Genomic DNA, 23,939 nt, shown 5'->3' on the forward strand with positions numbered 1-23,939 from the left:
GGACATGTTAACAACTCCTACAAAAATATAACAAAAGGGCAGAGAACCCAACTAACAATGGAGGAAATATTTAACAGGCTTTTAACAAAAGAGGATATCTACATGACCACTAAACATATTAAAAGGTTTTTAGCATCACTAGTCATCAAGGAAATGCAAAGGAAAACTACACGGAAATTATTCAGATACTATTATACACACATGTGAAAATTAATTAGAATTTAAAAAGTAAGTATAATAACAATAGCAAGGACGTGTGGCAATCAGAATTCTCACACACTGTAAAGCTGAACATTCTTGACCTAGAAATCCTACTTCCAGATCTATAACTAAAACAAATGTATACACATGTACACTAAAGGCTCTTACAAGAAAGTCCAGAATAACACTTTGTAATAGCTAAAAACTGGAAACAACTCAAAAGTCCATCAAGGGACAAATGGATAAATTTTGGCACATATATCATATGTATATACCAAATACATAGCAAAAAAAAAAGCAACTGTTATTATGCTCAAAAATATGGATAAACTTAATAGGCATAACATTGCATGAAAGAAGCCAGATAGGGAAGGGAATATCCTATGGAAATGAAGTTCAACAGCAGGCAGAACTAACTAATCTCTGTTGAGCTATAGATGGTGATGTGAACTAATCTATATTGAGCCAGGATGGTGGTGATATGGTTTGGCCGTGTCACCATCCAAGTCTCATCTTGAAGTGCAGCTCCCATAATCCCCACATGTCACGGGAGGGATCCAGTGGCAGGTAATTGAATCACGGGGGTGGGTTTTTCCCATGCTGTTCTCGTGATAGTGAATAAGTCTCACGAGATTTGATGGTTTTATAGAAGAGAGTTCCCTACACACGCTCTCTTGCCTGCTGCCGTGTAGGATGTGCCTTTGCTCATCCTTCACCTTCTGCCATGATTGTGAGTCCTCCCCGGCTATGTGGAACTGTGAGTCCATTAAACCTTTTTTACTCTTTTTTGTTTGTTTGTTTGTTTTTTGAGATGGAGTCTCACTCTGTCGCCAGTCTGGAGTGCAGTGGTGCATTCTCAGCTCACTGCAACCTCTGACTCCCTGGTTCAAGTGATTCTCCTGCCTCAGCCTCCTAAGTAGCTGGGATTACAGGCACGTGCCACCACACCCAGCTAATTTTTATATTTTTAGGAGAAATGGGGTTTCACCATGTTGGCCAGGATGGTCTTGATCTCCTGACCTCGTGATCCACCTGCCTGGGCCTCCCAAAGTACTGGCATTACAGGTGTAAGCCACTGCACCCCAGTCTCAGGTATGTCTTTATTAGCAACCTGAGAACAGACTAATACTTGTGGTTACCTTTGAAAAGGTGATGACTGGAAGGGGCCTGAGGGAGGTTTCTGAGATCATGACAGAGTTGTATGTCTTCATCTTTATGGTGGTGACATAGGTGTGTTCACTCAAAAAAAATTCACCAAACTGTACACTTACACTTTTGCAGTTTAATATATGAATGATACATGTTATGCTTTAATTAGAAAGTTAAAAGTAAGTTTTTTTCAAAAGTAGTAATTGGATGACTCCCGCTTTTATTGAGTTAGCAAGTATCTTTTACTGCCACTTTCTATTGTTAAAAAAAAAAAAAGGCTCACCACTGAGGCTGTAAGGCTAAATCCTTAGCATGACACACAAAACCATCTATAAACCAGTTTCTAGCCTTTCTTCCTGGCCATTCCCTTTGACCTGAGCTGTCTTGAATATTCTTAAGACTTGACAATACTAATTTTAAACCGTCTAAGATAAGATCACCTCCCACTCCAGAAAAGGGGTGAGGGTAGATGTTAAGACCAGAGTGTGCTTCCAGCACACTTGTATTTTTTATGGTACTAAGAAAGAAAAATGCTGACGCTTAAACCTGCACACAGTAATTCCTTAACATCAATGGTAAGGTTCCTCCCTAATTTTGAAGGCATTAAAATGGGGTCGGGGAAATGTCTTACAAATGATATTTTTTAAAAAAATAAAATAAAACAAAGATAATCATGTCTTGGATTATCATGACTCACAGCAACTTTACTTTCAAAAGTAAGAATATTTACTTCTAAAACTATGAAATCTTCACTATATTCTTAAAAATATAAATCGTTAAATGTCATTCTTTAGCTCTAAATACAAAGTTAGTTTGTTGAACTTCATGAGTTACGTCTTTTATCGGGCTTGGGGTGTGACCTTAGCCCCTCTCCTTTGTGAGGGGAGATGGCAGAACTCTCAGAAGCTTTTTCTATTCTCATCTTTGTTGGTTACTGGGGAAAAACTGGATTTCGCTGCACTCATCAAATAAAGAGGCCCAGGTAGCAGCGCCTCCACGTTTTGTTCAAGTGGGGTTTTCTGCGTGTGCCGCTGGCCAATTCTTCAAGAAAAGTGTTTGTTCTTCTCTGGCGGTTTGGTGTTCCTATGTTTCAACATGGGGGTACCAAATAATTCATTTCCCCTTTTCCCAACAGATGCATTCTTGTGACCTCACTGATGACAGGGGCGTCGTTTATTCTAACAAATGCTCTTGTCCAAATTCCAACCATGTTGCCAAGAGATGGCATAGCTGGTGAGGGCTGGACTTTAGGGGCCAATCTCCACTCCTGAGCTCCCCTGACCACACAGGAAGAAAACATTAATGATGTTCCCATACTGATGTTGTGGTGTAAGTGTCTCCTGTGTAAATAGAACTAAATATTTAGGAAAGAAAACAGAAGAGTCTTATGTAGTGCATTACAAACTAGAAAGCTTTTGAAGTCAGCATCTGGGATGGTCTTAAAAACAAACGTGCAGTCTGAGAGAAAGAATTACTGCTGACACACGCTGACCTCACAGAAACTATCTGGTGATGAGATTATCTCTCTTCCAGGACTCTAACAAGGCTTTGCAAGGATATTTTCTTGCTTTGCTTTGCTTTTTTTAATCTTCTTAACTGGTGGAACCTCTTGTTATGTGCAAATCTAATCCATTCTCATTCAAAGATGGATGTCCCGGTTTTACTGTATCTGCCTTAGTTGGAGATTCCCGGGAAGAAAAGCCCAGGACAAGTGGTCAGGTGCAGGAACTTGATCTGAGAGGTGGTCCCAGGAAGCAGAAGTGAGTTCATGGGGACATTGAGAAGAGGAAGGAGGCCAATCAAAAAAGAGCATTTCTGAGGTTGCTTCTGTACACAGGGGCTTCATTTCTTCAATTCTCCCAGATCCTCTGGGAACCCTATGAAATGCTTTTCAGAATTCTCAGAGTCATCCACCTGAAAAATAGAGGGACTGGAGCCTTTTTTCCTAGTCTCCCTACTGTCCATGGATTGAGAGTTGCCTGGGAGCAGGGAGAGCGGGTGTTAACTGCCTTCTGTTTAGAACAAGTTCCTGTATGTGTCAGAGATCTGGGGCAGGATGATTTGCAGTCATGTAAGCTTAGGTTGAACTCTGGGAGAGCCAGGTGAGTGTGTGCTCAAAAAGAACTGTCCAGTGCAGCTGCTGCTGAAATCAGAGGTGACTGCAAGGATGTAACACTGGCGCTCGGGTGTCTGCCATGGCCTAGGTTTCTTATGAGAGATTGAACTCTTCGGAGATTCCATCATTCAGAGCAGGCACAAGACGGTTTGGCCACCAATCTGGGTAGAGCCAGGCTGTTGCATGACAAGTCAGTCAGGAGAAAACTGAGGCTAGCAGGCTGACTTTCTGGTTCCATGACACACATCACATCTGCAATAGAGCTTAAAGACAGGGTGCTTATCCCTCAAACCTCCCTGTATCACTAACTTTCTTAATCCAGACTTTTGCCTTTGTTTTTTTTTTTGTTTGTTTTTTTTTTTTTTTTTTTTAGAAGGAGTCTCGCTCTGTCACCCAGGCTGGAGTGCAGTGGCAGGATCTTGGCTCACTGCAAACTCCACCTCCTGGTTCTCGCCATTCTCCTGCCTCAGCCTCCCGAGTAGCTGGGACTACAGGTGCCCGCCAGCACACCCAGCTAATATTTTTGTATTTAGAGTAGAGACGGGGTTTCACCGTGTTAGCCAGGGTGGTCTTGATCTCCTGACCTTGTGATCCGCAAGCCTCGGCCTCCCAAATTGCTGGGATTACAAACGTGAGCCACCGCACCCGGCCTACTTTTACGTCTCATAACCCAAAAGCTCTATGGCTTCAAAAATTCCCAACTCCTCAAAAAGCTGATTTTCTGTTTTATCAGTGCCCCTTTGATTGATAAACAATATATTAATATAAGATGGATATAAAGCAGATGTATTTTGTTGCCACAACTTCTTTGGTTCAAATTAAAGAATATAGGTCATTTGTCCCAGAGAGTCAGTCCAGCTGAAAAATTGTGGATGTTGATAAATGCGTAGGTCTCCATTCTTAAAAATCCAGCATTTTTGTATAGGAACAAAACTTTACTTGGATTATAAATTGCAGGCCTTCTTTGAAAAGACAAAGTGTGAAAGGGAAGAGAACTGTAGAGTCTTCCTGATGTTTACTGAGCCCTTACTCCAAACCAGGACTTAGGCTTGTTGCATCCCCTCCATTAACTCATGTCATATTGCCTAATTCATAAAGAGGCCCAGAGAGGCAGTCGAGGTGTAGAAAGGTTAAGTAACATTCCCACTGCCTCATAACTTGTAAGTAATGAAACTCTCCGGAAAAGTTGAGCTCAGATCTGAATCCAGAGCCTGCATGCCTAACCGCAGTGCAATGCTATCCTCACCTCACTGTGCAAATACATCTCAGATCTCTGCATTAGGATGCACAGGTTTACATTTTTTAAAAGCAGGTAATAACTGTCTTATTCTGTACCTATTGTCTGTTTTCACAGTCTGCTGTGAACCCTTGCTTTCAGCTGGGACACTGTTGCCTTCCACTGCCTTCCACAGCCTCTTTACTTCCCCTTAAACAACCTATTCCAACTGGTACTACTTGATAATAGTCATTTTCTCTCACCTGAAAGCATGCCTCTGTCAACCAGGCTCTTCCCCTCAATGGCTAATGACTCTCACTCCTACACTCCTGCAGAGGGCCTGGCACATAGTGGGTGCTTAATACAAGTTCCTTGGCACAAAGAATATAGGAATAAATACGGGGACTAAGGTATTGCGCTCTCCATTTTACAAAGGAGAAATCTAGCCTTGGTCTCTCTGATACCACAGTCTTTCCCAAAGTTGCACAGCACAGTGGAGGAGAGTTGGACCTAGGGCCCAGGTTTCCAGGATCCTGGTCTAGTGTAATGTCAGTTTCTAATTATGTGGTCCACACACATGAATATTTAAATCAGCATCTCCTGGAGATAACTCAAGAGGTGACTCTAATGGTAGACAATTGAGGCTGTACATCAGGGTTGCAAAGGGGCTTTGTCCGGATGAGTGGATTTTTTGTGTCCCTTACACCATGTGAATTCCCAGCATCATGGTTTATGCTAATCCTCTTTCCAAAATAGTTTCCTGGTGACCTTCTCCCTGTGCCAACCCCGGAATACAATGGGATGAGTAACTGGCAGGTCCAGATACAGAAAATGAGTGAGCAATGCCTTTCCCAGCTAAAAATTCTTCCAGCTCACCCATGGTGTGCTAGGGAAGATGTTCTCCTATGTCCTGAATGACCAGCAGCAGAGGATTCAGGGCACCCAATGCAAAATTGTCACCAAATGACTGTGACACTGAAGTGGCTCATGCTGCTCTTTGCACTGCATTAAGTGAAACCAGACGCCTCCAGTTAAACTCCAGTGAGCTAAAAAGTATAGTGATAAATATATGAAATGAGTAGAAAGAACAAAAATAAAGAAGCCTCACCCCAGATACGGCACTTATGAAGAATCTGTGTCTCAGTCTCCCAGCAAAATTGAAACGTAATTCAACTTCAGATGGTCAATGCCTGCCTTAATGCCCCATGCTAATGTCAGCCCTGAGATGTCACAATAGTCCAGGAGATGCTTACCTGAAGGAGAGGCCCTCTAGAGAGGCTGTGAGAACTGTGATTTGGAGCTCGAAACTGAGATAGTGAGCTGGGCAGGGTGACAATTTATGGAGAATGGGAAAAGGAAGAGGGAAGTATTTTAGCAAAACGGATGCTATCAGGATGGCTGAGGCTTTAGAACCAGATGGAGTGCTGTGGCCTCTCTTGGATGGATGCTGTTTCTGAGCTTTGCATCTGGAAAGACAGAGCCTGCTCTAGGAATAATGATGTCAAAGATCTTTCTCATTTTACTGTCTGGTTAAATATCACCTCTTCAGAGAAGCCTTCCCTTATCAACTTACTTAAATTGAGTACCCCCTGTCAGTTTTCTATCACAGTACCTCACTTGTGTGTGTTTTCCATTCATAGCATTTGTTACACTTTCACATTTTTAAAAGCGTTGTTTCTTTTTTTGTTTTTTGTCCATCTCCAGTTCCTATCAGTGCCCTACCATGTCCTTAACATTTAGCTTAGTGCCTGACACGTAGTGCTTCAGTAAGAAGTATCAATGTGGTAAGTGAATTTCTAATCGAATAGCAGTTACATCATAAATAGTCAATGATTCTTGTGATGTCTCATGGTCCCAGGGATCATGAGATACAGAGTGACAGAGGATGGAAGTTCAGTTTTCTTCTCTATGTAACAGGAAGCAAGGAAGTGATCGTCAGAATAACTGCAAGATGACCCTGCTGGCTGCTGTGTGACAGGGGATTAGAACAGTCATAAAAGCAGGTAGAGAGGTGTTTCAGTTAGCTATGGCTGTGTAACAAACTACTCCAAACTTAGAGACTTGAAATAATCATTCTATGTGGTCATGTTTCTGTGGGTCAAGAATTCCAGCAGGATTCAGCTGGTTGTCAACTGGGTCTTTCACATAGCTTTTTTCACCTGGTAACTTAGCTAGGCTGGAAAATCCAAGAAAGCTTCACTCATACACCTGGCACCTTGGTGATTCTTTGCATGCACCTTGGTGATTCTATGTGCTGTTTTGTCTCCCTCATAGCTAATCAGATGTCTTATGTGGTGGTTGGCATTTTTTTTTTTTTTTTTTGAGTCAGAGTATTGCTCTATTACCCAGGCTGGAGTTCAGGGTGCGATCTCGGCTCACTGCAACCTCTGACTTCCAGGTTCAAGTGAGTCTCCTGCATCAGCCTCCCTAATAGCTGAGACTACAGGCACGTGCCAGCACGTCTGGCTAATTTTTGTATTTTTAGTAGAGACAGGGTTTCACCATGTTGGCCAGGCTGGCCTTGAACTCTTGAACTCAGGTGATCCACCCACCTCAGCCTCCCAAAGTGCTGGAATTACAGGTGTGAGCTATCACGCCCAGCCTGGTGGTTGGCTTTTAAAGGGAGCAGGTCAACCATATGAAAACAGAAGCTATGGCTCTCTTGAGGCCCAGCCCCAGAAGTTACACACCATCAGTTCCCCTGTGTTCTGTTCGTCAAAGCAGCCCAAGATTATCTCAAAATCAAGAGGAAGGGAAATAGATTCAGCTCTTCATGAAGATTGGCAAGGAATGTGCAGCCATTTTCAAACCACCCCGCAGAGAGAATGGTTAGGACATTGTTATGATAAACCCAGCCTAAGGTTATAGCAATAGAGATGGACAGAGATGATTTAGCTGAAGATATAGCTGTAGTTAGCATGACCAGACTTGCCAATGGTTGTAATAGGGTGTCTGGATTAGGGAGATGTTGTTTATCTCTACTAGTTTCCTGTTAATTACTCTATGAACAAATTAGCACAAACTTTGTGGCTTAAAACAACACAAATTTATTCTGTTTTAGTTTTGGAGGCCAAAAGTTCAAAATGAGTTTCACAAGGCCAAAATCAAGGTGTCAGCAGAACTGGTTCCTTCTGGAGGCTCCAAGGAGCATTTGTTCCTTGTCTCTTCAGTCTCTGGAGGCAGTCGTGACCCCTTCTTACAACTTCAAAGGCAATTGTGTAACATTTTTGCAGGGAGAGTCCTGGGAACAGTGAGACAAGTTGGGGAGAGGCAAGTGGAAGGGACAGAATCAAGATTGAAGCAGGCTAAGTATGAAAAATTTGTAAGATGTCCAAGCGGAGATGCCAGAAAAAGTCAGATGAGTGTATGAGTCTCACATTTCAGAGCTAAAAATATACACTCTGGATTTATCAATATAAAGTTAGATGAGGGCCAGGTGCGGTGGCTCATGCCTGTAATCCCAGCACTTTGGGAGGCCGAGGTGGGCAGACCATGAGGTCAGGAGCTCAAGAACAGTCTGGCCCACATGATGAAACCCCATCTGTATCAAAAATACAAAAATTAGCTGGGTGTGGTGGCATGCACCTGTGATCCCAGCTATTCAAGAGGCTGAGATAGGAAAATCGCTTGAACCCGGGAGGTGGAGGTCGCAGTGAGCTGAGATGGTGCCATTGCACTCCAGCCTGGGTGACAAAGTGAGACTGTCTCAAAAAAAAGAAAGTTATATGAGTATTGTTGAAGTCATTTAGGAACAGATTTTTTAGCAACATCATCCAGTAGAAATGTAATGTGAGCCAGAAATGTAAATGTAAATGTTCTGCTAGCCATATTTAAAAAGTAAAAAGAAAAAGGAAAATTAATATTAGCAATATCTTCTTTAACCTGATTATTATATAATGATCATTCCATCATTTAAGCAACATAAAAAGCAATGAGATATTTTAGATAACTTTTTCCATACTAAGTTTTAGAAATCCAGTATGTTAGCTCACTTTCCAATTCAGACTAGCCAATTTCTTTTTGATGGAGAAAATGTATTTAATTAAAAGAATTATTCTTACTATTATTTTTGATTGGCAAGTCATAATTGTATGCATTTATGAGGTACAATATTATGTTTTGATACATGTATAAAATGGTATAATTAAATCAAGCTAATTAACATGTCCATCACCTCAGTTACCTATCCTTTTTTTGCTGAGACATTTGAAATTGACTCTCTTAGTTATTTTGAAATATATAATACATTATTATTGACTGTAGTCATCATGCTGTGCAATAGTCTCAAAACCTCTTTCTCTTGTCTATCTGAAACTTTGCACTCTTAGCTAAAAAAAATCTCCCCAGTCCCTCCCCTGCACCCCCAGCCCCAGGTAATCACCATCCTACTGCTTCTAGGAGTTTAGCTTTATTTGATTTCCCATACAAGTGAGATCATGTGGTATTTGTCTTCTGTGCCTTAGCCATATTTGTATTATCCACTGGCCACCTTTGTCTCCTGGTGATATACTGGACAGCACAGCTTTAGAAAGAAGAGATTCTAGAAGTTATCCCTGAGGAATCCCAGCATTTAATGGTCGGATATAGAAAAAGCTTGAAGGTAGAAGAAAAACCAGGACAGTGTAGTATTGCACAGGTAGGAAAAGCCTTAAGAAGTGAGTTGATCAGCTATGTTGAATGCTGGTACAAAGATGGGTAAGATGGGATGGAGAAGTTTCTACAAAACTGCTGCTAATTCAAAGAAACAGATATAGACCACTTCCAGGCTGGGCGTGGTGGCTCGTGCCTGTAATCCCAACACTTTGGAAGGCCAAGGTGGACAGATCACTTGAGATCAGGAGTTCAAAACCAGCCTGGCCAACATGCTGAAACCCCGTCTCTACTAAAAATATGAAAATTAGCCAGGTGTGGTGGTGCACGCCTGTAATTCCAGCTAGTCGGGAGGCTAAGGCAAGAGAATCAGTTAAGCCCAGGGGGCAGAGGTTGCAGTGAGCCAAGATCGTGCCACTGCATTCTAGCCTGGGTGACAGAACGAGATTTGTCTCAAAAAAAAACAAAAAAACAAAAAAACAAAAAAAAAAAAACAAGACTACTTTTAGGTTCTCGCTCTTTGGATGTGTTGCTGTTTCCTGCACTCTCTTCCTACTGTCTTTGGGTGGTAGATGGAAGGGTGCCACAGGACACACAGCTGGGGAAACTTCCTCTTGCAAAGCCTCTACTAAACCATGCCACACCACTGTATAATAACTGGAAAATGGCTTTGGGACTTAAAAGCAACTTCATCCAAGAAGAATTGCAGTTTGGATGCAGTCCAGGTATAAAACAACCACCTTCACTCCTGTGTGTTACTGTAAAGCTTGCCTTCTGTAAAATGTCTTAAGCATAAGAGCTGTAAAGGAAAATACTCATGGATTATATTGTGATTTGAAATCAGGATGTAATACGATAGTGACAGCTTAAAGATTCTTCTAAAACTAGATATGAAATTTGAATGTGGCACCTGTCTATAATTTGTAAAGCACTTTGGCTTTTTCTCAGCTACATGGTGATGATGAGTTCTTCTCAACAAGTGACTAAGCTCTAGGGGAATCAGTTTCTCAATTTGCATGAGATACGGGAGCTTCCTAAGACATGAGACTTTCAGTTTTAAAACCAGGATAGTCTTGAGAGAGCTGCCCTTGTTTTTCGGAGACATGCAGGCTTCCCAAGATGTGAGACTTTCAGTGCTAATCCCAGGAAAAGTCCTAAACAAAAGGCAACGAGTTGGTTGCCCAACCAAGCTGGGAGGCCTTCTGACCGAGGACCTCCTGAAGTCATCAACCCAAAGAGAAGAACTGCCTCTTAGGGCTGACTGATGCTTACAAAAGGGATTATAAAGCCTGAATACCAATTTCTTAATTTGCAAAGAGAAATGATGTGACAAGGACCAGGAAACTCAAAGTCCATATGGTCAGCATTTTCTGTCTCTGTATAAAGCCAATCTATTAATTTAAAGAACAGAATGATTATCACATGCATTGAAATACACAAAGTCCAAACGATCAGCAAATTCTCGCCCGGTGTGAAGTCAGTCTTTTAATTTACAAAGAAAAATTACTGTCACAGAGACTGGAATGCTCAAAGTCCACATGGTCAGCACATTTTCTGCTTCTACTCTACCCTTCATGGAAGACCAATTCATAATCAGAAGGCTGCTTAGTGAGCATGAAGTGTTGGTTAGAGTGAGTGCTTAAAGGCACTGGACTAAGAAAGCCTAACTTTACCAAGGGGTTCAGACTGTCTTTGTCACCAAATGCTGAAGTCTTTGCTTCAGCAATTTTTCCTGCCTCTAGGATGAGTACTGCAAAGTTGCCTCCAGGAGGCATCTTATTTTCCAAGCTGCCATGGATGACTGACCGTTTTAAGCGTCCTTCATTCTTCAGATGTGCTAATACCATCAATTAGGTAGTAGAGTTTCACTTCCCTAGGAGCCATTTTGTCTTTGCTACATTTATCTTTGCTCTTATTCCAAAGAGCAGCCTTCATTCTCTTCCTATCAAATCTTTCAGCAGCAGAAGGCAACTGACTGTATCTCTGAGTAATGTTGATAAGTATTGTGTTGTGGAGGCTCTGCATAGTACAGTGGTTAACGGCACGGGCTGAGAACTGAGGAATACCTACTGTCTACTTGTCTACTACCATGCAGAACTATAGTAAGTCACTATATCCCTTTGAGCCATAGTTTCCAGTTCTATAAAATGGGAACCATCCATAGTTGGTTGTATCAAGGACTCAATGACAGCAAACAAGTAAAAGAACCCATATAGTGTTTGAGACATGATTGTGCTCAAGAAATGATAGGAAACAAACGTACAAACGACAAGCATTTTTTGCTGCAGTTTGGAAGTATTAATGTTTTACAACCTCCACAAACTAAGGTTCATGATCGAAGAACCTCACTGAATATTTAACTTTAGGGATAAAATGCACAACCTATAATAATTTTAGTGCAATTGATTTATTATAGTCAAGGGAAACATGACTGAATAACAAAAGTAGGTTAGGAAAATACTGAAACAGAATAGGATGAAGAAAAGCATTTTAATGAAAAAGGAAAAGCAGAGAGCAGAGTAGTAATCTCTCTTGGTTCCTCTCCTTCCGTCAGCCTGCTGTTCCTGCCCCTCTCTTCTTCTCTCTGGCCTCTAGATACCGGAATGTCTCAGGCCTCCCATCCCCTCTATCCTCCATTTCGCCACCTGCTCTGGCCAAAAAGTTTGAAGGAGGACCTATGAAAAATATCCCTGGCCTGGGCTTAAGAAGCCTTCACCCTCATTCTCAACTCTGAGGCTACCAGAGCATGATCAGTTCATCATCTCAGTCAATCCTCCCAGCTCCTCTATTAGATCCATATGACTGCCACTTTGTGAAAGATACAAGGAGGACTTGGCAAAACAAGGGCCCCACCTGAAATGGATAGCTGAGAGCATTACCACAGTCGGATCTGCTGGGTTGAATTGTACACAGCAGATGCCAACTTCCAATGAAATTAGAATCATATTTCTATACATTTTCTTAAGTGCCAGACATCATTCTAATCATTTTATAGGCATTATCTCACTTAGTGTCTAAAAAACCCTAAGGTTTTGCCATATAACTTTCATCCCCACTTTATTATCTATCTAGAATAACTGAGGCTTATGGAGGAAAACTGACTGACTCATTGCTGCTTGGCTATTAAGTGGAACTTCCCAAGACTCTGTAACTTTGGAGACTAGTCACATATGAAATATGCTACCCTCTCACTTGTGTGATGACGTTCAGGGTTTGGCGAATGTTGAGCAAGCCAATAAGGTAAGGCTGTATGCGGTACAATTCTCACACTCGTTGCTCTTTTTGTTGTAACCAGCCTCTTTAAACACTATGGCCTGACCCTCTGAACCAGCCACCTGACCATTCTTCTGACTTCCCAATAAGCCTTTGCCATCACCAAACATACTGGCCTCCATGGTCTTCATCTTTAATGCCATTAATTAAAAAAATATGCCCCACAGCTCTGCAAGAAGAATTCAGCAGGCAGTTGGCATAAAAAGGTTGGGAATGGTTTACATCTTTGAGCTTCAGTATTTTAAGTCTGCAAGTTCATGGAGTGCAAGGGCTGTGGACACCCTGCTTGCCAATTTTTCTGCCTTAACCGTTCCCTGCCCCCTTGTTGTTCAATTTCTGGCCAATGTCTAAATTTTCCAAAAGGAAGTATGGTCTTTTGCATTATGACACATGATTGCCACCCACTGGTTAAGAATGTTTTCACTATGAAGGTTTAGAAGGTTTGCTGTTGAGGCAAAAGTTACCCATTTCCCATGCCCCCAGTTCAGTTGTCTGGATATCCCAGAACAAGAAGCATTAACTGCTTCAATTTAAGTCAGATTCTCAAAATCCCAAAGGCATGTCTTTCACTTATCCCATAAAACATCTAATTAAATTATTTCATTTAATTGTACATCTTGAATTATTTGTTTGCATCTTGAATTATTTTTGTCAATGCGCATTTTCCAATAAAGGAGTAATCAGTGGTCTCAATGTCATTCAGATGAGGCCACCCTTATTTATCAGAGTTCTAACACCAATCAGTATTCATCCACAGGGCTCTTTAGTGGAACTGTGGCACTCTTTAGTGGAAATGTGAGTTTCAGATTTCTGATTAATAAAAATAATTTGTAAATATGATCACATAATTTTTGCAATACCGTTTTCTTTTCTAAGAATCACCTATAGAAACACCTACTACGTGCCAGGCATTGTTTTATGTGAACATTTCATGTATGTAACAGCCCCCCCTAAGGTAGAAATTGTTATTGTCATTCTTATTTTGAAGATGAAAAGCTGAGGCATGAAGAGGGTAAGTCACCATCCAAAGTCACCTATCTAAAAAATGCAAAGCCAAGATTCAAACTCAGGAAATGTGTTACTAGAATCTTATCTACTATGCCATGCTGCCTCTCAGAAAGACTATCACTGCTTCCTCCAGCCTCATCCTCTTGTCTTTTCCTGGGCTGGGGCCATCCTCACCCTGATTGGCTCTCCCCAAAGGCTCACTCTGACACCCATTCCAGTGCTAACCCTGTTCAGAGTGGACAGGAACTGGTCCATGCATCTCCTTAGATTTAACACGATAGGCTCTGTCTCTCACAAGGGCAGGCAGCAAGCAATTGTCTTTTAGAGGAAAACAAACCATTTGAACTAAATGTTGATTCTTGCTCTCTCTAGAAATGCAGACAGAAATCGGCAATCAGTGTAGTTGATGGATACCAGAAAAAGAAATAAAAGTAAGGAAATGAAGAAAAATTGGGCCAATGGCACTTTAAAAATTTCCCAAAATTTTGAGGACAACTTCCCTTTTTTTCAAGGCACTTGATGCTTCTCTAGATAGAAAAATTGTTTTCACCTAAAATATCACACTAGCTGTTCTGAAATCCTCTTGCTTCTTGGCATGCTTATTAAGAAATTCTGCTCTTGCAGCAACAAATCTCAGCTTTCTTTGCTTCTAGAGAACTTTAAAATCATTAACTATCCTTTAAAAACTCACTCTTGGAAATACATGTGGTCTCTTTCCCTATAACTAAATATTTGATACAAGCCACTATCAACTTGATACTGACAGTTTAAGGGTGTTGGGTACGATGACCTTTGAGGTGCCTTCTGGCCATAAGTACCAAGGAATTCATAAAGTTGGATTAAATGATAACAAAAATTGGAACTTTCCCTTTATCTTCTTTTCTTCTTAAAGAATAAGTTAAGATACATTGATTTCATTTCACAACTTGCACGGAAATGAGTGTTTTACTGTTGATGTTTTTATGATCTGTAGTTTCCATTCTTTTTAATAGCCTTGGTGCAGTATTAAAAAAACTATCTTGGTGATAAAAGTTATTTTAGAAGTAAAAGTTGCTTTAGAAAAGCAAACATGACTAATATAATCCAAGTTTTCTCAGGAAGGAAAGCGCTAGTGTGACTGGACAATGCTGAGACGCCCAAGAAGATGATTGACCTTCAATTACATTGAAGGGAATGACTGAACTATTTATCTGTGAGGGATTGTAAATCAGGAGCCAAGGGAAAGCCTTGGAAATTCAAATGTAAAAACCTAGTTCAGCAAAGGAGTTGTCTTAAGCAATAGTATATAAATCAGGCAGGGTTAGGTTATACTACAGTAATAAACAGCCCCCCCCCCCCCAAATATCAATGACCTAAACAACAGGAGTTTATTTATTGCTCATGATATACAACCAATTTAAGTTAGGAGGGGAGTTATGCTTCACGCAGTCATGCCACATGAGGTCATGATAGCACCGTCTTAACATGATGCACCTGAGTTCTCCTGGCAAAGGAAAAGAACATTCCAGATTCTGCATTCACAACTGAAGGCTCTCCTAGGCATGAGACACCATGCCTCTTACTGTGATTTATTGATCATAATAATGTATAGCCTCATTTAATTGCAAAGGGATCAGGAAAGTGTCATTCTGAACATTCTCAGAAAAGCAGAGACCTGATTATACATGAGTGTTAGAAGCCTCTACAACACAGCAATTGTGGACTGAATGCTTCATTCAGGCAATAAGCAAAAGCCTCCTTCAGCAGCGTATTATTTAATCCTCACATAACCCTGCAAGGTGTGGGCTTTCATGATCCCCCTTTCTCGGATAAGGAGACTGGGAATCAAGGAGGTTAAATAGTCTGCCCAGAGATGCTCCCCTTCCTATTAAGAGCCCAGTTGTAAACCTGTGCTCCTGACTACCATGTAGCTCTTCCCTGAGAGCTCCTCCAAGCCTTGGTTAAAGGGCCAGACCCTTTGCTCTCTGAGCAGGAGGAGAGCAACGTCTGCCCTCACTGACCCATTAATAGACACCTGTCAGTGAGGAAGGGAGGCTTGTTCACTTCAGGGAGCTGTGGTCGCTTCCCCTGTGCCACTGGAAAACTAATAATTCATGAAGTTGGCTTTCAGGTACGAGCAAGCTGGACTGAATAGTTGTTTCAAGTCATAAACATAGAAAAGTAAGTTGATAGGAGAAGACTATGTGGAGAAAATTTAACCATGTTAAATATTTGAATAAACATTTAAAAATACATAGCATATATAGGTGCATATATAATAAATTTGAGACAGTAGGCATGACAGAGTTCTGAAATAGTTTATAAGTATGTGAGTTGTAAATATCCCATTTATATTATGCATAGATTATAAGTAAAATACACAGAATTGATTCTATGCTCCATCATCTATGTGGTCATCTAATCATCCATCTCTCTAAACTAACGTCAAAGAGACATATAATTTAAAGCACATATGCAATTCTAAATTTTCTTGGATAAGCTTTTAAAAACTAAAAATAAATATATAAAATTAATTTAATAGTATATTTTATTTAACCCAGTGCATGCAAATATGATTATTTCAACATTTAGTCAAGTCGAAAATTGTTCCATCTTTTTGGTACTTAGTTTCTGAAATTGTGCATGTATTTTACCCTTAAAGCTAATCTCAATTTGGGTGCTAAACCTTCAGTGGAAATCCTTGCTCTGTATTCAGTTTATAAAAGATGCGGTTAAAGAAACCAAACTCACTTGTCCAAGGTGTTCCAAAGATACTTCAAAGTTTGCAATCGTTTAGTTAATCTGTTGACAATGGTTAGATTGCTGTTGTGTTTATATATAATGCTAGAAATAATGCATATGTTGGGCATGTACATTACAATATGATCCTGTCTTCCAGACCATAAACACAATTAGTTTTTCCTGGAGGATTCTAACTCACCATTGGGTACCTCTTATATGGAAAATCATTAGAAATGCCTGTCCTCTCTGCAACCAGCTGGGAAGAATTTTCTGTCAAAAGCTAGAGATGTTTGTGTGTTTTTGTCAATGGGATCACAAACTTGAAGTCAGAACAGTTGGATTCTGGATATGAGTCTTCTTTTACCAGCTGTGTGATCTTAGGTGTTCTGGGTCCCATTTGGGAAATGAGGGGTTTAATTGCCTCCAAGCTTGATCTGTGCATGGAGCAATGTCGTTATGAGAATTCCCCACATTTTGCTCCCTTTTGGACCTCCCTAAAATTCCCCTAAGAACACCCCTCACTAGTAGAAATGTAGAATCCCAGACCTTACCCCAGATCTACTGAATCAGAGTCTGTATTTTTAACAAGATCCCCTACATTGGAGGAAAGTTGTAGAAAGACTGCCCTGGAGGATTTCTAACATTTCTGTGGGCTCTCATATTCCTTTTAAATATACATTAGAATGAAATGCAGATATTTTAAGATGATGTGGCCTTTCAGAGAGTAGTTGCATTTACTAGGATGTGAAAGAAACACTTTTCAAATGGTAACGATGTGAAGGTGTCCTAAGTGCTTGTGTTGAGTCCAGCACTGTGCTGGTAGCTCACGAACTCCTCGTGACAACCTGGAACCCCATGAACCCCATTTTACAGGTAAGGAAGCACAACCTGAGAGACATGAAATTATCCAGGCAGGCTTGCGTGGCTAGTGATTGTGAAGCTTGGATTTGAGTACAGGTCGTCTGGTTCCAGAGCTTGCACGAAATCACTGTGCTAGTAAGAAACAGAGTTCGAGGTTGAACCCGGGTGACTCAGCATCAAGGAATGGGCTCTCTCTTTGGGGTGTGTGTCTGTGTGTGTGTGTGTGTGTGTGTGTGTGTGTGTGAGAGAGAGAGAGAGAGAGAGAGCTTTCTTAATTACCACACCATACTACCTCCATTTTATATTAAACAGAATATTGGAATCTTGACCTTTTTCTGTATTTAATTAGATGCTGCTGTTTAATAACCTATCACAAAAGTTAGGCAGGCATTCACACACATGGCGATGAGAATTCCCCACATTTTGTTCCCTGTGAGCCCTCCCTAAAACTCTCCTGAGAATACAACAGCTGCATTTAAAGAAGCTGAATCCCCTATTGCAGATTTTATTCCTGTAAAAATATATTGAACTTGACGAAACAGAGAAAATGTGGCCTGCTTAGTCAGTTACCCTGACACTATAGCTCTTCACAAAAGTTTTAAGATATGATCATATATTTAATATAATATACTTAGTATAACATGATATATGTGCTATACTATAGCATAGTATGTATATGTAATATATATAATATACAGTACAGCATAGCAATTGTCTACCAGTGACAGATTTATTTTTAAGTTTTTTATTGACACATAATATTTTTACATATTTTTAGGATATATGTGGTATTTTGTTACATGTACAGAATGTGTAATGGTCAAGTCAGGGAATTTAGAATATCCATCATCACAATCATTTATCATTTCTATGTGTTGAGAACATTTCTAGTCCTCCCCTCTAGCTATTTTGAGATGTACAATACATTGGTGTGAGCTGTAGTCACCGTACTTTACTATTAACATTAAAACTTCTTCCTTCTGTCTACTGCCTGTTTGTACTTAACTAATTTCTCTTCACTTACCCTCCCAGACCGACAAACATCTGCATCCTTCCCAGCCTCTGGTAACCACCATTGCGCTCTTTTTCTCCATATTTTAGGTCCCATCTGTGAGTGAGCATGTGCGATATTTCTCTTTCTGTGTCTGGCATATTTCATTTGACATAACTATCTCCAGTTCCATTAAGGTTGCAGCAAATAATATGATTTCGTTCTTTTTTATAGCCAAATAGTATTTCATTGTGTAAATATACCACAATTTTTTAATCCGTTATCCATTTATCCACTGATGGGCACAAGGTCCGTTCCATATCTTTGCTATCGTAGATAGTGCTACAATAAACATTAGGGTGCATGTATCCCTTTGATAGACTGATTTTCTTTCCTTGGTATAAATACCAAGTAGTGGGATTGCTGGATCATACGGTAGTTCTATTTTTAGTGATTTTTTAAGAAATATCCATACTGTTTTCCATAATGGCTATACTAATTTACTTTTACACCAACAGTGTATGAGTTTCCTTTTCTCCACATCCTTGCTAGCATCTGTTATTTTTTGCAATGACTGATTTCTATGAACAGGAGTCTTTGGAGCCTTCCTTCATAGCCATCGTCTCACACAGTCCTCACTGGTGCTATTACCAGCTCCATTTGCAGAAAAGGAAGCTAAAGCCAAAGCTTAAGTGAGTTCCTGATAAATAGTCCATATTTTACCTCAGGTCTTCTGATTCCAGACATCACGTGGACTGTCTGAAAGACGCAAAATTAGACAAACAGCAAAAAAGAGACCCTGTTGGTGTCCAACACTTATAATGAGGCTCACTTCTGAGGACACGTGCAGCCTAAGCAAGGCAGCCACTGCCTCTCACCTTACAGCTTGCTGGGCTGATAATGGCCATAGGGGATCCTCAGCCAATGAGGGGTAAGATCTGTAGATAAACATCCTTGGGTCCAGCATCCTTGACCCTTAATGGACAATTCTGGGGGATGTTTCTCACTGTCTCTTAGAGAGTCCCCAGTAGGATTGAGCTCCAGTTGCCCACAGTGGAAGTCTTTCCATGAATGCACCCTTTATTGGCTTGTGTCCACACCCTGTCTTACTTCCCAACTCCCTCACTTGTGATTCCTGGCATAACCTCCCAAATAAAAGAGTTTCACCCCAGTTCTTGTCTCAGGGGACCACAAAGAGAGTGACTATGTGGCCCCGTGAAGATGAACTTGTGACAATGGCATGACCAAGGTTTACCACCTGAGCTCTCCCTGTTAGCGCTAGTTACATGTAGCATGTGAGCTGGGTTCTTCTTTCCCAGTCATTTTCCTGTCTTAACCTTGGGGTGAAGGACAATGTTCTTGACCTAGAATGGCCTAGGCAGAGTCTGATAAGATTGTTGTGGATGCAAAGGGAACAGGGTTGTGGTTGCTGAGCATTGCATCCAGTGCGTACCTTGTTCCCTTGCTGCACTCTCATCATGTTTGGATTCAGATGAACTTTGATGTTCTGTGTGAGGTGGACGTTAGCACTGTATCTGTACTGAGTTAGGCGAGGCGGTCCCGGCAAAGTAATTACAAGGAAATGCTGTATTTTAGATTGTTTGAGTTTTCCAATAGAGACATATCAATCTTGCTTGGGAATACTTTGACTTGTGCTTTGTGATCAGATTTCCCTGTGCTTCTGGTGAAGCTTATGGATTCATGAGTTAGCTCTGCAAATGGAGAGTTTGTGTTAGAAGTCAAATCAGTTAAAGCTCTTTGATACTGCACATATTCATGGGCAGAATTGCTGCAAAAATCCTCTAAACACATACGAGGAGCTACATTATACCTTTAAGTGGCAGGATCAGCTTCGTGACAAAAACCAAACCAGGAATGAGAGGGGAAAATAATCTAAATGTGTTAAGGGAAGTATGCAAAATGGCTGAAAGCTGACAAATGGCAGAGCCAGAACGTGAGTTCTGCTGATTCCAGACATCCTGCCTGATGAACATAAAATTGGAAGGAAAAAAAAGTAAATGAGCTATGATGAGACCAAGTGGCCCATATGGGTATCAAACTCAACAGGATGGCATGACCAGGCTTTTTTACTCAGGCACAAAGAGCTTTTGAGCATTGTTTGATAATATTCCAAAAAGAAAATGATAGAGCCAAATTTCCCAAATGTTCCATGTAAAACTAGGAAATGACTGAAGCATTCACCCTCATTTCTAAGTATTGTAAGTGTCTGGATCAGAATCCATTGCCATGGCTTATTCATTCAGAGCTTGTTGCTGGGGATTGGGATGCTTAGACTGGCAGGACTGGTGTCTCCTTGGCTAGACAAAGATCCTTGCATGGCATTAAGGGAGCCTGTCCTGACATTTCATAAAATCATTTCTGAACCGTGACGTTTCCAGTATTTTATTGTGAACATTTTCAAACATAAAGTTGAAAGAATTTTACACTAAACCACCATGTGCCCATAACCTCGATTCTACAGTTTACATTTGACATTTCCATATACTTGCTTTATATATATAAATATACACATCACACACACACACACACAGTCCCTGCCTCTATACATCCACCTTACTTTTTATGCATTTCAAAGTAAGCAACAGATATGTAACACTCCACCCCCTAAATAGATCTGCATGCATATTGTTAATTAGAATTCAATATTTGCTTTTGGTTATTTTCTTCTTCAGAGGAAAATTTACATACTATGAAACCCACAAAGCTTATGCGTCATGTTTACATTTTGACAAACATATATTACTTTGGTGCAAAAGTAATTGCTGTTTTTGACATTAAAAGTAATGGCAAAAACCGCAATTACTTTTGTGCCAACTGAATACAACTGTGCAACCCAAACCCCCATCAAGATAGAAACCATCATTATGACCTCAGAAAGTTTCTTCATGACCTTCCTAGAGGCCACCAATATTCTGATTTTTCCCATCATAGACTTGTTTCAAGTTTCATTGGTTCTAGAATTTTATATGAATGAAATCGTATGGTATATATATTTTTGTTTGATTTCTTTCACTCAGCATAAGATTTTCTTTTTCTTTCTTTTCTTTTCTTTTTTTTCTTTTCTTTTTTTTTTTTTTTTTTTTTTTTGAGACAGAGTCTCACTCTGTCACCTAGGCTGGAGAACAGTGATGCAGTCTTGGCTCACTGGACCTCTGCTTCCTGAGTTCGAGCGATTCTTGTGTCTCAGCCTTCTGAGTAGTTGGAATTACAGGTGCACACCACCATGCCTGGCTAATTTATTGTATTTTTACTAGATCTATGGTTTTGCCATGTTGGCCAGGCTGGTCTCGAACTCCTGACCTCAAGTGATCTGCCCACTTTGGCCTCCCAAAGTGCTGGGATTACAGGTGTGAGCCATCACACCTGGCCAGCATAAGATTTTTTAGATTCATTCATGCTCATACATCAGCATTCATTTCTCTTTGTTGCTAGGTAATATTCTGTCACCTGGTCACTTGTATAGACCATATTTATTATCTACTCTCCTATTGATGGATGTCTGAGTTGGTTCCAGCTTTTGATTACAATGAATAAAATTGCTATAAAAACGTTCATGCACAATTCTGTGTATAGACCTGTTTTTCTTTCGCTTGGGTAGACTCCTAGCAGTAAAAGGGTATGTCATGGGGTAGACTCATATTGAGTGTTATCAGAAGTGTTCACTTATTTTTCTGAATTGGTCGATCCTCTTCCGGATAACGCGTGAGAGCAGTGACGGCTTTGCATCCTCACAAACATTTGCTGTTACTGATCTTTTTAATTTTAGCGATTCTGGTGAGTGTGTAGTGGCATCCCATTGTGGATTTAATTTGCGTTACCCTAACTACCCATATGTATGCTTATTGACCATTCTGTTCTGTTCTGTTCCTTAAAGGAACATTTTGTTCGTTTATTGGCTTTGTTTGTTTTTGGCTTGGCTAAAGTCAAACTTGCATCCTCCATCTGACCTGAGATGAGAGTCAGCTCAAATAGGGATACCTGGAGACTGCTCACGCGTGCATGGTTCGGGGGTCAACATCGGCAGAGTTTTGGGCAGAATTCATACACAGAAGTTGGGGCTTCCTGTCACTGAGTCTCTTCTATCTGGATTTTCCTCCCTTAATTTCCAACAGCTACTGTTGTCATGAACTCTGTTCTCTGTTCTGTAAACAAGCAGTCCCCAACCTTTTGGCACCAGGGACTGGTTTCATGGAAGGCAATTTTTCCACATATTGGGGACGGGGATGATGGTTTGGGGGTGAAAGTGTTCCAGCTCACATAATCAGGCGTTTGTTAGATTCTCATAAGGAACGTGCGACCTAGATCCCTCGCATGTGAGGATCACAATTGGGTTTGTAGGTTTGTACTTTGTACTCCTATAAGAGTCTAATGCCACTGCTGATCTCACAAGAGGTGGAGCTCAGGCAGTAATGCTCACTTGTCAGAGGCACATCTCCTGCTGTCCGGCCAGGTTCCTAACAGGCCACAGACCAGTACCGGTCCATGGCCGAGGAGTTGGGGACCCCTGCTATAAGCCACCAAGACTATGGGTTTTCAGTCAGAATGTAGTTTCCCATCTGGCACTGGTTGGTCCTCTTATCAGGCTGAAAGCCAGAAAAATGGGAAATTTACCCAGTGTCAAATTCTTCCAAGTGTTTAGCCTCCAGTTTTTTGTTTGTTTGTTTGTTTTGGTTTTTTGGTTTTTTTTGAGACAGAGTCTTGCTGTTGTCAGCCCGGGCTGGAGTGCAATGGCGAGATCTTGGCTCACTGCAACCTCCGCCTCCCAGGTTCCAGCAATTCTCCTGCCTCAGCCTCCCAAGTAGCTGGGATTACACGTGTGCACCACCACAGCAAGCTAATTTTTGTATATTTAGTAGAGACGGGGTTTCACCATGTTGGCCAGGCTGGTCTTGAACTCCTGACCTCAGGTGATCTGCCTACCTCAGCCTACGAAAGTGCTGGGATTACAGGTGTGAGCCATTGTGCCCGGCCCAGGTTTTTCATGCATTGAAGTTCACACTCCACATTCCCCAGGTAGTTGTTTATTATATGTGGCCAAAAGTTTATAGCAGTTTTCTACAGGAGAATTGGTCAAACAGGGGCTACTCAGCTATACCAGAAGTAGTGTCTTCTGCACTATAAATTTGAATGGCTTTAGAATATTCCATTGTATGAACGAACACACCTTCTTTTATTAACCTTGCCTTCTATGGATGGTTATTCATATTCTTCTTATTGTTCTCTGTTATGATAACTTTGCCTCTGACACAAAATCAACCTCACTGTGATGCATACTGGATGTGGAACTGAAGCAAGGGACAATTTATCTGAGCTCAAGCTTGCTCATCTGTAAAATGGGATAATTATAATAACAGAAAATATGTGCTTTAATGAGACTTAAATGGAAATAATATTTCCACCAAATGCAAGTAGTAATTTAGTGAAACAATGTGTGCAAAGTACCTAGCACTCTCTGGCATGTAATTAACTCAAATTAGGTGCTACTTGGTTCTCTTTGTAGTTGTCATTGTTACCATTATCCTTGCTGCCTACACTCATAAATGTATAAATAAAAGATTGGAGAACAAATGGCATGTACGCAAATGTGTTTCTTCCTTTTTATAAATAAACATACCATGAGGATTTTTTATGTCAGTCAAGTTGTTTTTGAGAACATGATTTTAATGACTGCATAATATTTATTTGGATGATCCATGGTGTTGGAAAATAATAAGTTACATATCTACCTTATATAAATTTCTCTGGGGAAACAAGTCATTAAAAACAAGCTTATTTCTAATTTCAGCCTAATG

The 23,939-nt window shown here is 40.7% G+C and overlaps 1 protein-coding gene across 9 annotated transcripts in view; it reads left to right on the forward strand.

Annotated features, from left to right (window-relative positions):
• Window positions 1-23,939, forward strand: part of CDH13 (cadherin 13) — a 1,173,672-nt gene that overhangs the window by 429,008 nt on the left and 720,725 nt on the right. Inside the window, exons 1-2 of one of the 9 annotated variants that reach the window (XM_011522804.4) lie at window positions 2,575-2,679; window positions 12,345-12,512. The exons of the other annotated variants lie outside the window; for them this stretch is intronic. Of the exons in view, the coding sequence (XP_011521106.1) occupies window positions 12,450-12,512 (63 nt within the window). The 5' untranslated portion in view covers window positions 2,575-2,679; window positions 12,345-12,449. Of the gene's footprint in view, window positions 1-2,574; window positions 2,680-12,344; window positions 12,513-23,939 lie in introns of those variants that run through there. 9 annotated transcript variants of the gene reach the window in all.

Source organism: Homo sapiens, chromosome 16, assembly GCF_000001405.40.
Source record: "Homo sapiens chromosome 16, GRCh38.p14 Primary Assembly".
Lineage (NCBI taxonomy): Eukaryota > Metazoa > Chordata > Mammalia > Primates > Hominidae > Homo > Homo sapiens.